The sequence below is a fragment of the Homo sapiens genome, chromosome 14 (genome assembly GCF_000001405.40).
Source record: "Homo sapiens chromosome 14, GRCh38.p14 Primary Assembly".
NCBI classification, from domain to species: domain Eukaryota; kingdom Metazoa; phylum Chordata; class Mammalia; order Primates; family Hominidae; genus Homo; species Homo sapiens.
Genome location: NC_000014.9, coordinates 43742349 through 43757514, shown reverse-complemented (window position 1 = coordinate 43757514; position 15166 = coordinate 43742349). Strand labels below are relative to the sequence as shown.

General features: G+C 33.2%; 1 annotated feature.

Moving 5' to 3' along the window:
• Positions 2184-2763: an enhancer, noted in NCBI's record as "OCT4-NANOG hESC enhancer chr14:44223955-44224534 (GRCh37/hg19 assembly coordinates)". NCBI's record gives its function as "activates a minimal SCP1, AML or CMV promoter by ChIP-STARR-seq in naive H9 embryonic stem cells {active_cell/tissue: H9 hESC(naive)}" and the evidence as "EXISTENCE:reporter gene assay evidence [ECO:0000049][PMID:30033119]".

The following is a 15166-nucleotide window of genomic DNA, read 5'->3' as shown; positions in this document are numbered from 1 at the left end:
ATTACATTTTTTTAAGTCTACAATATTAGAGATTCTCCTGTATCGGAAGTAACATGAATGTTAAAAATAATAAAGTCACTATTTTTTCTTTTAATTTTTATTTTTAGTTCTGGGATACATATGCAGGATGTGCAGGTTTGTTACATAGGTAAAAGTGTGCTGTGATGGTTTGCTGCACCTATCAACAAATCACTTAGGTATTAAGCCCAGCAGGCATTAGCTATTTTTCCTAATGCTCTTCCTCCTTCCATCCAACCCCCCGACAGGCCCCAGTGTGTGTTGTTCCCCTCCCTGTGTCCATGTGTTCTCCTTGTTCAGCTCCCACTTATAAGTGAGAACATGCAGTATTTGGTTTTCTGTTGCTGCATTAGTTTGCTGAGGATAGTGGCTTCCAGCTTCACCCATGTCTCTGCAAAAGGCATGATCTCATTTCTTTTTATGGCTACATAGTATTCCAAGGTGTATATGTACCACATTTGCTTTATCCAGTCTATCCTTGATGGGCATTTGGGTTGATTCCATGTCTTTGCTATTGTGACTAGTGCTGCAGTGAACATATGTATGCATGTATCTTGGTAATAGAATGATTTATATTTCTTTGAGCATATACCCAGTAATGGAATTGCTGGGTTAAATGGTATTTCTGGTTCTATAAATACCAGAAATTGCCACACCGTCTCCCACAATGGTTGAGGTAATTTATATTACCACCAACATTGTAAAAGCGTTCCTGTTTCTCTGCAACCTCGCCAGCATCTGTTGTTTCTTGACTTTCTAATAATCACCATTCTGACTGGTGTGAGATGGTATCTCATTGTGGTTTTGATTTGCATTTCTTTAATGATCAGTGATGTTGAGCTTTTTTTCATATATTTGTTGGCTGCATGAATGTCTTCTTTTGAGGAGTGTCGGTTCATGACTTTTGCCCACTTTTTAATGTTTTTTTTCTTGTAAATTTGTTTGAGTTCCTTGTAGATTCTGGATATTAGACCTTTATCAGATGGATAGATTGCTAAAATTATCTCCCACTCTGTAGGTTGTCTGTTCACTCTGATTACAGTTTCTTTTGCTGTGCAGAAGCTCTTTAGTTCAATTACAGCCCATTTGTCAATTTTTGCTTTAGTTGCAATTGCTTTGGCAATTTCATCATCAAATCATAAAGTCACTAATTTTTATTAGCTGGTACTATTTTTTCTTACACATTTATTTTCTTTCTTTCTTCTTTTTTTTAAGTAAGCAAATCACGTTCTATTTATTTTATATGGTCAAATGGTATAAATTACCATACAAAAAACTTAAATATTTTTAGATATTTTTACCTAACCAGAGAATAATTATAAAGAATATAAAAACTATTAAATGTAGCCCTATAATATTAAAGTCATAAACTGTCATTGCTTTGGAAGATATAAAGTAAAAACTGAAAAGTATGATGATTTTATGTACATGATTCTTCTGTTCTTACACTTCTGTGACGATTGGAAAATTAAAAACTGCAAAGCAGTTTATGCTGTTTAAAAGCAGATGATATATGAGTCACTTAAGTCACGGAAGTGCTACCTGTCATTATATCTCCCACACCACTGAGAGAAATTAGGTGTTTGAAAAGCTGTAGTGCGCCTTTTACTTGAAATGCGGAGGCTTTAATTTCCTCTCTGTGGAGTAACTGTAATGTGATGATGCCTGTCTGTTTAATCTGAATATGATATTCTTTCTTTATAAAAGTAAAATATAAGATCCGAAGAAGTCTTTTTTTTCAATTTGCGTTATACAATCCATTAAAATATAGCACTTCCAAACATTCCCATTATATGCAAAAATATGCCAGTTTCCTGTATTTTAAATCTCTATCACAGGACATTAAAAGGGACTTATTCTTCCTCAGTGTCTATTGAAATGTCAGTGAGACACAATTAGATACCAAAATGATAGTGAGACCAATCTGCATACAGAACTTTTTAGAGAAAATGTTACACCACTCCTAAGTTATAGCACCTCCCTCAAGAATATAAGACAGATGAAAATTTGGCAAGGGGAGATTTTGTTAAATAATTCTATAAGCCCGTTACCCTACTGATCAGGGCTTGGAAATATTTAGAATATGTAAGTATATTTGTTGCAGTATAGTACAAGGACTCATTCCTGAGCCACATCTTAAAAAGTTACAGTGGAATTGTGGATGTGGGTCTGAATTGTGTCACCTTAACCCATTCCTTCAAGAATTCTGGGGTGGAAACACAATGCCACAGGGCCCAGTGCCTTAGAAAAGAGACCAGAGAGCTTCCAGAGTTTGTTGGATTGGTAAATGTTTCCAGTGGATCTTTTGCCCATTGTGGGGTTTCTGTGAACCCTTTTGAATGGGAATTTCTGTTAGGGTGAGTCAACCTTAGCCAAAGAGAATGGATGTATTGCACCAAACATGCAGTGAATGACAAAGGAGAAAGAAGTTACGCATTAGAATAAAAAGGCAGGCATTCTCATAAGGAGGCTGCTGGGGAGAGGTTTTAGGCAAGAATCACTAAAGAATTACAATTAGCATAATCCTATGCAGACTCATTAGGAACCCCAGCTTTCGCCAACCATTAAACGTGGAGCATTCTAGGCTACCTAGCCAAAAAGGTACTGTCCTCCTGCTCACCTATTTGTACTCTGCATACCCTCATAGCCTGGCTGAAAGTAAAACAACTAAAGTGAGTTCAGGATTATTGGCTAGGGAAAGAGGAGCACAAGAAAGCAAATCTGCCCCAATCCCTTTCCCACTTCAGATGTGCCAAGCTAAAGAGGCCAGATAAGAAGAAAGAAGAGTTAATTTTAAATCAATTCATAACATCGAGATGTAAACATACATGCAATTGGATATGCTAATTACTATCTTGAGGCCTATTTTTTGTTATTAAAGGGGCTTTTTAATATTTGTAAATTATATCAGGAAAGTAATTGTCCTGTAATAGTGTACACCCAGGGTCAGGGCAGATTATAGCATTAAATATGTTAGAAAGAACTGTAGGAGGTGAAACCCAAGTTGTGTTTTGATTTAAATTTTCCTGTTATTTTATATATATTTATATTTATACATATTCAATGTGCATGACATTAAAGACGTTTTTATAAATGTAAGATAAAATAAATTAGGTATTTTATTTCTTGTAACACAAGAAAACTTCATTTATTGATATTCTTTTCTATCCAATTGTCTCCATTAAAATCTAATAGCACAGAATTGAGAACTGATCTGAAGAAGCAGCATAAATTGACTGGCAGCCTTGTTGATGGAGATTCTTTTACTCTAAACGTATTTCTGTAAGATACAAGGGCTATCAATGAATAGTGAAGTCTTGGGATTGTTTAATCTCCATTTGTTTTTCTTTCTTGCATCCAAGAAATAATTTTATAATTACATGTGTTAATTTGAATTAAGTTTTGTCCCAAGCATGCCTCCACATTTGAGTCTTTATGTAACAAACTACAACCGTTTTTAGTATGTAAACTAACTGAAAGCCTAATTTAGGGGAATACTTTCCTAAGAAATAGCTGAGTACCAGCCTTACAGTCACTCATAGGCAGCCAGCTGATTCAAATATGGGAAAATGCTGAGCTGTGACCAGGTAAGCCGTCTCTATATGTCACTTCTGTTTTCTGTTCATAAATGTTGTCTGACTGTGTTGCAGCCCCAGAGTTCTTGGAACTCCAGTTCTGAGGGCTGCTCGATTTGTGAATCACTTTTTATCTTAATGAAACTATGCTAAACTTAACTTGTCTAAGGTTTTATCCTTTTTATATGTGTTTCCATGACTCTTTGAGTCCTACTCCATGTCCAGGTAGTAGGGTGAATATGGGCCACCTGAAGATACTAGGTCTTAATCCCTAGAACCTGTAAATGTTACCTTAAAAGTAAAAGGGGTCTTTGCAGATGTGATAGTTAAGGATCTTGACATGGAGAGATAATCTTGGATTATCTGCATGGGTCTTAACTGTAATCACAAGTAACCTTATAAGAAAGAGGCAGAGGAAGATGAACACCCACAGAAGAAGAGAAGGCATGTGACTACAGAAGAGAAGTTGGATTGAGGTGGGGCAGCGGGCACAAGCCAAGGAATGTTAGCAGCCACCAGAAGCTGAAAGAGGGAAGGAATAGTTTGTTTGTTTGTTTGTTTGTTTAATAGCATGGGAAGGAAACTTGTCCCTGCTGACTTGATTTCAGCTCAGGTGGCTCACATCTGTAATTCCAGCCCTTTGGAAGGCCAGGGCAGAAGGATCATTTGAGCCCAGAGGTTCAAGACCAGCCTAGGCAATATAGTGGGACCCTGTCACTATAAAAAAAATAAAATAAAATAAAGAAAAAAAAATTAGCCAAGCATGGTGGCACACACCTGTAGTAGCAGCTACTCAAGAGGGCAAGGCAGGAAGATCCCTTGTTCCTGGGAGGTCAAGGCTGTGGTGAGCCTTGATTATGCCACTGAACTCCAGCCTGGGTGACAGAGTGAGACTCTGTCTCACAAACAAACAAACAAACATAAACTGTTTTCTGGCTTCTAGTTTCCAGAACTGTGGGAAAAGAGATTTCTGTTGTTTGAAGTTGCAAAGTTTGTGGCTATTTGTTATAGTAGCCACAGGAAACTCATGCCGCTCTCTAACTTTTATGATCTGATCTCTCGCTCCTCTCACTACTTTTTCTTTTCCGTTATTCTAAGATCCATAGCTAAAATTGACCTCAAGGGCTATTTATTCCAGTGGCTATAAAATTGTGTTTCTCAAAGGCCTATAGTTTCTGTAGAGCGTTGGTTGAGACTGAATGAAAAGACTTATTTTTAATAATAATAATAATACTTGAAGTCTGGAAAAGTCAGTGGGCATCCCAAGTTTAATACTATTAGTGATTTATACCACAACCCTTCCTTCTCATCTTTTGTGTGAAGAAAGCCCTGATTTTTAGAAGTGTCCATCCCTCAGACTCAGTATTAGATCCTGAAAATTTCAGGTCACACATTCCCTCTGTGAGGGGTGGGCATTGGGATGGATAAGTGACCTAGTTTTAGCCAAAACTATGTGAAGGGAGGAATGCTTGGGGTGGAGAGTAATGGTGATATATGAAGAAAAGGTCATTGCAGAAAAAAATATACACACACACAGAAGTGCGTGTGTGTATCAGTGTCTGGAACTGCCACAGCTATCTTGTCAATAGGGCAATTATTATAAGGATCAAAGTTGATACACTATAGATGGCAGCACAGAGAAATGGAAAGAATCTGGACCAAGTATTATATCATTGAGTCAACAAATTAATGCACCACGAGAGGTATAAACTTACTTTTAAACCATTTTGAGTTTGTTTTTTCTGAGTTGAAGTTTCTGAATTGAAAAGAATAATGTTATTTTAAAGTATATTTGCACACGTAGGCCAGGTGCAGTGTCTCACACCTGTAATCCCAGCACTTTGGGAAGCTCAGGCAGGCGGATCACAAGGTCAGGAGATCAAGACCATCCTGGCCAACATGGTGAAACCCTGTCTCTATTAAAAATCCAAAAATTAGCTGGGCGTGGTGGCACATGCCTTTAAGCCCAGCTACTCGGGAGGCTGAGGCAGGAAAATCTCTTGAACCAGGGAGTCACAGGTTGCAGTGAGCTGAGACAGCACCAAAAAGAAAAAAAAAAAAAAAATATATATATATATACATGTAAAACATGAATTAAAATAATTATAAATAAAACTAAGTCAAGGAAATAAGTTCCCTTTAAGAATTTTTAGGATGTTAATATTTATACCATCATCATAGTAACAGCTATTAGCCTAATATTTGTTGAGTACACATAAATATGCAATACAAAGATAATATACAATCTTTATTAATAAAAGAAGGCAGAGATGACAGGAAAGTTACTCTATATAAAGTATTTACATGATGAGAAAAATCACTGCTCAATGTTTAGTGTCCTGGGAGGAAAACGACTAGGAAAGAGTACCTCATTAAAAAAGTTTTTTTGCTGCTCGTTTTTATAGCTTCTATTTCTATAAGTAAATACTGAATACATTAGACATTTGGGAAAATTAATAATGTTTCCAGGCCTCCTACGTTTTCAAAAGTTACTATAAAACAGAATAAAACAGTTTTGAAAAACAAATCTTGCAAGATGTTCTGTACACACACATAACATATACAAAATGTATTTTGACTTACAAGTTTTATTGCAGGAAGCCATATTTATTTTAAATATATAACTAATCTTTGTCTGAGAACACAATACTTTTTAATAAGAAGAGTATCAAGGGAAAAATAAGATACGGGTGTTAGGAAAACAGAAAACAGGAGGATATGAGGGTTAGGGGGACATCGGTTTAAAATCAACTCCATCTTAAAACTAGCAAGGCACATTCCTTGCCAGTCAAGACTCATGGTATAGATGTTTATGGCTGAGGAAACAGCCTAAAGATAGCTGCAAGGACACACTCCAGTAACAACAGAAAGTCAAGAAATCCCAATACCCACAACAATATATACTTTCAAGATAATTATAATTATGCTTTGATGTACTTATATATGAAAATGCTACGGATAACTTTCTTTCATATCAACAAAGTACTAAATTTTGTCAGACAGCCCACAAACATGTAGACATGGCTTAGCTTTTACATAGATAAGACTACTATTTGAGAAGAGTTTAAAACAAAGATAGCGTTTTCTTCCTCTTGCTTTCTGAGAACACCCTATTCTGTATCTAGTAGCTTTTGATAAACTCTCTCTTCTCATTGGACTCTGTAACTCACTCTGAATTCCTTCCTACATGAGATCCAAGAACCCTCTATTGAAGTTTGGATTGGGACCCCTCTTTCCATCAACAAATATACTGTTTTCTCTTTCCTTTGGTTGTAGAATTGTTTTTCTTTTCTAGAGAAGAAATGTTTATGCATGAGTCATATCAAATACTTTACAATATTAGGCGCATGTGTATATATGTGAAGATATAAAGTAATAAAGAGTTAAGAGAACTAGGTTGCACAATAATGCGCTAAAAAGTTGTTTCCAAGTTAATTAAAAATGAAATGTTTACATTGTTACATGGGAAAAGAAATTTATGACTATACTTTTATTTTAAAATATTTTTACCTATTTGTTATCTTTCCAGCATCTCAATATTCTTGTTAAGATAAAACAAAATATTTTAAAAATTCCGATGTTTCCTAGGTTTGTAAATTGCTGTGTGATTTTGGTGTTAAAATGTGGATCAAATTTTGCTGTTACACTGTCCATGGTTTGTACTGTTGTCAGACAGCACTTGAGACTAAATATGAAAGTGAACTTATTTTCAGGAGGACTTTCATGGTGTGCCCAGAATTTAGTAGGTGACCATATGATAACTGAAACCTTAAAAGAGACATTTGATAAAATGTTTCAATTCTGACACAAAATAGCACCCTGTGGTTTTATTTCTGAAAGAAGGAATAAAAATATATTTGTTTTGTTTTTAAGAAGATAAATTTGGTACCGTAGAAAGAATTGAGTTAGCCAAGTTCAAATTGAAGATCCCCCACTTATTACCTGGTGACATAAGATTTCTGAACTTCAGTCTTCCCAGTACACAATATCTAACTAACTGAAAGATATTTTCTGAAGACCAAATGCGGACTCAGGGATCAATAATGCACAGTGAGTTCTCAATTCAAAAACTCCTCTTACTGTATGTACACAGATAGCCTAAAAGTTACTGGAGATCTTGGATAAAACATCTTTATTCATCAGAAACAAAATGGATTCACAACATGACCACCATGGGTGAGGCCACATGTTTGAGGGGTTCAAAAATCATGAAGTGGGCTGTTAGGTGGATGTGCCAAAATAACTTAAATTGAAACTGAATTCCAAAGCCAGGTTTAGAGACTGAGAAGCCACGGATGAGATGTAACCCGAACTCATGATGAAATGAGGCTGAGAAAAGTGGGAAGAAGGGAGGCAAAAAATAGTTTTGCTACCAGGACCTAAGCCAAACATGCTTTCAGGTCTGCCATATTCCAATATCTTACAGTCACTCAGTACCATCTATCTAAGAACTTGTTTTATTGGCTGATGATAGAGGTATTGAGGTAACTACAAAACAAGTAGAGAGAGATAAGCATTGTTAGGGGAGATGGAGGTAATAGATAGATAGATGATAGATGATAGAAGATAGATAGATAGATAGATAGATAGATAGATAGATAGATAGATGAAAAGGAAAGAAAGTAGGAAGGAAAAGTAAGAGATTGCAAGCCTACTCAAAATAAGCTTGAAAATAAAAACTCCAAACTGCATGCTAAAAATATAACACTAAGAAATTGACTAGCAAAATCCACAATTAAGAAGAGGAAATTTCTAATGGTAAATTCAAAATAACTATTTTGAATAGTTTACAGAGATAAATGAGAATATAAAAGAAATAATCAAATCAAGTAAGTCAGAATTTTAAAAATGATATTTAGGTGGATATAAATAACTTAACATACAGTCATTGATATAAATATGAAATAGTATAAAATCATCTAGGTAAAGAGAGTAACTAAGATAATTTAAAAACGTGTAAATGATTCTGAATGCACAACTAAAGTGACTTTAAAATGAAATAGCAGTTAAGATAAAAGATAGATGGAGAATCCACAACAATAATCTAAGGAAAGTGCAGCAGAAGGAAATGAGAGAATGGAGCAAAGCAAATGCTTGAAAACATACTTGATAATTTTTCAGAACTGAGGAAACACAGAAAATAAAAGATCTGAATACAAAGTAGGAGACATAAACCTACTTTCACACTATCACACCGTACTTATTCTCTAGAGCATCAAAAGTAAAAATAAAATCTCGAAAGCTTCCAGATAAAAGACAAATTGCCTACAAAGGAAATACATTTTGAGTGATAATGAAAATTCTTACCATTTCAACAGAGATTATAGAACAATAAAGACCTTAAAATGCTGAATAAAAGTGTCTATTATTCTAAATTTTATGATTAGGAAAATTATATATCCTTGGTGAGGGGAAAAAGAAAAGGCTAAGATCATTTATTACTCAGAGTTTATCACTAAGTGAAATTTTGTGGGGTTTTTTTGTATAAATTTAAGAAATACAAGTGCAATTTTGTACATGGCTCTACTGAAAAGGGGAGCCATGAGTGACATAAATCTGTCACTCAAATAAAGTACATTATACCCATTATGTAATTTTTAATCATCTATCCTCCCAACCCCTCACCCTTTTGAGTATCCAATGCCTATCATTCCACACTTTAATATGTAAACAGTATTTAGCTTCTACTTATAAATGAGGACATATAGTATTTGTCTTTCTTGTTTTGAGTTGTTTCATCTAAGATGATGATCTCTAGTTCCATGCTGCACAAGACATAATTTCATTTTTTTTTTCTGGCTGAGTAGTATTCCATTGTGTATATATATACCACATTTTCCTTATCCAGTTATCCACTGATGGACACTTAGGTTGATTCCATACTTTTGCTTTTGTGAATAGTGCTGTGATAAACATAAGTGAAGTTTTACAGAACAGATTTCGGTATTATCAACACTTAAATGATAAGTACACTAGAAGCCCAATCCCCAAATAAAAGAAATCTAGAGAGAAAGTACAGCATGACAAGAAACAAACAGTGGGCCAAAAAACTGATAACTCACTTAGGTAAATCATTATCTAATGATGGTAATAATAATAATTAGTAATAATAATAATAAAGTTTCTGTGTTTGCTAACAGAAGAGAACTATAATTCTAAATATCTATAATATACTTGAAAAACATGTATAGTTAAAGGAAAATAAGATCCTTGTCATGATTAAGAGTGACAACAATTATACTAATTAACTTTAGTTCTTATTTGATTCATTTAAGGTACATTTACAGCTTAAAATTTACAAGCAACTCAAATGTGGAGCAATTAAAACATTAAAAGACATAATGATGTTTACAATAATAACTCTCTACCTGAACTCACATTGATTATATAAGTAAAAGAATAAAAACACATAATTAAGTAAATGCAAAAGAAAGGAAAGCTTTTTTTATGAATGTCAACTAATAAATGTTGAAGGAATGGTGAAGTCAGAAAATTATCATTGGTTGCTAAGAGTAGTATTTAAAAGTTTGATGAGGAAGCAGATATTTACCTAGTCTCAAAGTATCTCCTTGCAAATTGCTTGTTCATTACAAAAAGAAAAAATAATAATTTTAAAATGGAGAAATCTGGTGGACAGTACCGTAACTCAGTGATCAAAGTTAACATCACCAATACTGGGGCAACCTAACATCCTTAGGCTATTGATACGATGCACCAAGAAAGACATATCATTATTTTTGTGATAGTCCAGCTGAATATTTATAAACTGAATCAATTATAAGGAATCATCTCACAAGCCTAAATTGAAGGATCTCCAAAATAACCAGCCTATATACTCTTCTAAAATGTTAAAGTGCATCAACATCTGGGAGAATTTGAAATTAAATAAATAAATAAAGTTAAAGTTCAGAGAGACAAAGAAAGTTTTAGTAATTTTTCCAGCTTAAACTAACTACTCTAATACTCCAGTGTCTTCAATTTCCTCTGAAATGCATCCAAAAATGTATATATGTATAATGTGTGTATATTATAAATAATATATATTATAAATGCATTATAAATTATATAGGTTCAGTAGTATATATAATCTGAGAGAAGTAAAAAAATAGAAAGAAATTAAGGCAAATTTCTTACAGATGAATGATTTAATCTACAGCTTTCTTATGAGTAGAAGAATCAAAAATATTGAAGTGCAAATGAAAATAAGAGGCAAAGTAAAAGAGGTGTAAGAAACATCAGATAATATTAATAAAAAACAGAACAGAGAATTTCATTATGAAGTTGCTGTTCTAACCCTAGACACTAGGCAACTGACTTAGCTTTAATCACCGATTCAAGTTCCAGGAAATTATATATGTACTGTGTCTGTCAGTGCCTATTTAAAGAAAATAATGCCATTTTTTTTTGTTTAGTGGAAAAATACTTTGAAACATGTTATTGTTTATGTATAGAAAAATCAGTGTACATGTCTTAATGCGATGTTTCCCTAAGTCATTGAAGAATGCTTTCAAAACAAGAATTCCAAAAAGCACATCATTTCCAAAAATTTCTGATACCTGCAAGGGGTGATGATGCCTCATTTTAGCTATACCTTAATCCTTTTTGAGGCTTTAAACTATGGAATATATGTGCTTCATTATCGGAAACAGTTGAATTATAAAAGCTGACCCAAAGCAGATCTAATCATAGATCTTACCAAACTTCACAAATAATCCAAAGTCTATAAGACATATAGATAAAAATAGTATTCCTTTCTGGGAGAGTCCTGAACCTGTCAGATGCAGCTTCCCCATTACCCCTTTTGCTGTTTTGGAATGTGTTTTGGTTTCAGATTACCAGATAACTGCTTAACAATGTATGATGTACATTGACAAAGTCACATTTTGGTTTATTAGTTTTACTCCCTGTGGGTCACACACAGAAGTGGAATGTGTGACTAATTTCTATCCATCATCAACCAGCCATACCCCAAATTTAGGAATCCTAGGTTTACGCACATTAAGCAAGTTGGACAGCTCAGGAATACTTTGTTAAACAGAATGTTTTAGGTAAAGATTTCCTAATAGGTTTCCACTAATAAACACCATTAGACTGTACATAACAAGATTCAATGGAGATCACCCATTCTCTTGGGCACTGCCAATGTCAATCATTTCTTTGGGCTTCTCCAATAGGGAAGATGGAAGTCACAGGCCACCTATTATGCTTTCCTTCCCACATAGCCAAATAAGTAGTATATTACCAGTTAAAGTTTAGAAAATTATACTATTTAAGCTAGAGAAATCATATCATTTGGGAAATGTATTTTGAATGATATAATTTGTGGAATTATATTACCTTTTATATTTCAGTTTAGATAAATACAAAACTCAAGATTTTTTAAAGGAATTCCTTATATATTTTTCTCTAAGTGTAAGGCAGGGTCACTATAATTCAGGGAATTTTGTTATTAGGTCAAATGGTTGTACTTACAATCATTGTAAGTACAGCATTATGTTTATACAGTAAGATGAAAGTTGAATAAGGACATCCTATTGATTAGAATATCTTAAAACCTATTTCCTTAAGATAAATATATTTAAAAGAAATTTCAATTTTTTAGTCTGTTATTTGTTAAACTATATTTTTCTATTCAAGAAAATAATTTCCTAATAAGCTCAAATTTGTGTTTGAACTTAATTCAAAGAGTATGAATTGAAAAGAGTATGTAATTGACAGTTTAATCACCAGTGGTAATTTTATTTTTTTCATTAACTTAACATAATTCCATCACTTTTCCTGTATTTTCCACCTAAAAATGAAGTACAAAGATGGAACATTACATGATCCATTTATCTGATGCACTCTATTATAATAATTCTTATTTTCTAGTCATTGACATTTATGTGATAATGCAAAAATTCATTGTAGAAAATTGCCGTTAGCCATTTATCCATTGGGATTCATCCAGGAAAACAAAGTAATAATGTAATGTAAAAGGACATTTATTATAAGGGTTAGAATTTATATAATTGCAGAAGCAGATGAGGTAGAGGTGTACTTAGGAATCAACCTAAGTGTTCATTCACTGTGGATTGGATAAAGAACATATGATATATATACACCATGGAACACTACCCAGCAATAGAAAATAATAAAATCATGTTATTTGCTGCATCATGTGTACAGCTAGAGGCCATTATCCTAAGTGAACTGACTCTAAAGCAGAAAATCTGATATAGCATTTTGTCACTTATAAGTGGGACCTAAGCAATGGGTACATATGTACATAAAAATGGAAAGAACAGACTCTGGGGATGCCAAAAGTGGGTAGAGTAGGAGGGCTGTAAGGGTAAAAAAATTACCTGTTGGGTACAATATTCAACATTTAGATGATGAATACACTAAAAGCCCAATCCTTAACATTAAGCATGTAATCCCCATGTAATAAATGAGTACATGCACCCCCTCAATCTAAAAAGACAAAACAACAAATAAACAAGTAATTTACAAATGGCCTTATGCTTCCATGTTTCTGTTTACCTCTTTCATAACTGTCCATGAGTGGCCTTTGCAATTAAATTTTTCACAGGTCAGTTTATGTAACAGGATGCAATGGGTGAGTTTAAATAGGCCAAGTGCATTAAAACAAACAAACAAAAAATTTTCCAGATAATAAAATAAGCCATTACTTCACTAAGTAAGATTTTATCAAGTCTTCCTTTCACTTTGCTTATGGAAATTCAGATTTGCTTATCACTGAAACCACATTTTTCAGTCATAATATTTCAAATAAATTTCAGAGTGGTATGTGTTGTAAAATGAGAAAAAATTGGATTTGGGACCTTTATGTTGACCCAGTCTTCAACTGCTAATGAAATCATTTTCCTTCACATTTTGATTCCCTTGCAACTTTATCATTTACTTTGTGAAGGTGAGATTACTCTCTCATGTTCTTCATGAATTCCTGTAGGTTACTTGGCCTGCCACCTTTAGGTTATTCAGTTAGTAAATGGGAATTATATGAGATCATGGGTTCTCAGAGTGTAATGGAAGTTAATAAGTAGGAAGATGTCTCTAAACTAATTAGAACTTTTTTGAGTAATTTTTTTCCTCTACCTTGCCCCTTAAAATAGTATTTACTTTGTAGAAAAACATGGCTTTTTGCTTTATAGAAAAAAAATCTTTAAAATAGTATTATAGATAAATATTTATCTCTAGTTTAAATATAATGGATAACAAAAAAGGCAATGAAAACAACAAAAATCTTAACAATTTAAAAAATGACAAATAAAGGAAAAGGCGTAAAATTGGGTCAGTCATAAAACAGCATATCCTTCTTTAAGTATATATGAGAAGGCAATAGCTAGGCCAAAAGTAAGTGACACCATTAAAGGGCAAAAGGAGATGTTAATGCAGAAAATGTTGATATTGCCAAGGGTGTAAAAGATTATTTAGCCTCAGTAACCACTGGGGAAACTAAAAAGACAATTCAGTACTTGTAGAATGTATGATGTATTTATCTGAAGACAGGCTTATAAATATATGTATACTTTAGTATAAACAGATTTTTAAAAACAAGATTCTAAAAAACATTAGAATGAAGGTAGGAAACAATGAAGGAAAGAAGGAGATCAGAAAGGAAGGAAGGACAGAGGGAAGGAGAAGAGAAGGAGGGGGAGAGGAAAGGAAGGAGAAAGAAAAGTCCTTCAGTTATGCATAACAAAGGTTAAAGGTAACTCTCTTTATATATATATATAACCATATATATTAAACTATATATAACTATATATAAATAAAATAATTTTAATGTCTTAATTATACTTTATGATGAACATGAATACACACGTATATATAACTATATATGCATATATGCTATATATAAAGCCATATATATGCATATATATAGCATATATGCTATATATAAAACTATATATATGCACGTATGTATTCATGTTCATGATAAAGTATAATTAAGGCATTAAAATCATTGCATTTATAAATAGAGCATGGGGAAAGTAATTCAGTTACACACATACACATGTGTGTGAATACCTGAAGGACTTTTCCTATGTTTTGTGCAATTTACAAATATGGTATGATGTCAATGCCTTTATTGTGCTTCACCATAAACATGAATAATTATTTAGCTACTTAAAAGTTAAGTTGTTTTAAATGTTTAAATATTATAAACAATGTCCTGATGGACATGCTTGTGTAAACAACTTTGGGCACCTCTTTAGTTCATGGTATATAATTATTGATAATTATTCAACCCTTTAGAACTAATGCTGTATAACAAGTAATTTTATTTATTCAATAAATAGTTATCAAATACATAAATATATTCCATGTAATGTTCTAGAAGCAAGTGTATAGCAATGAAAAGAGAAAAAAAAATCTCCCCTGGCTCCATGTCTCTAATATTTCAGACAGAGTAATAGATGAAAATGAGTAGTAAAAATATATAGTATATTAGATGTTCAGTTTTCTATAAAGGAAAATAAAGCAGTAAAGGATAGGCAGTATTGGTGGAAGGCAATTTTACCACTGAGAAAGTAATATTTGAATTAAAAAAATTAAAAGCATAAGGA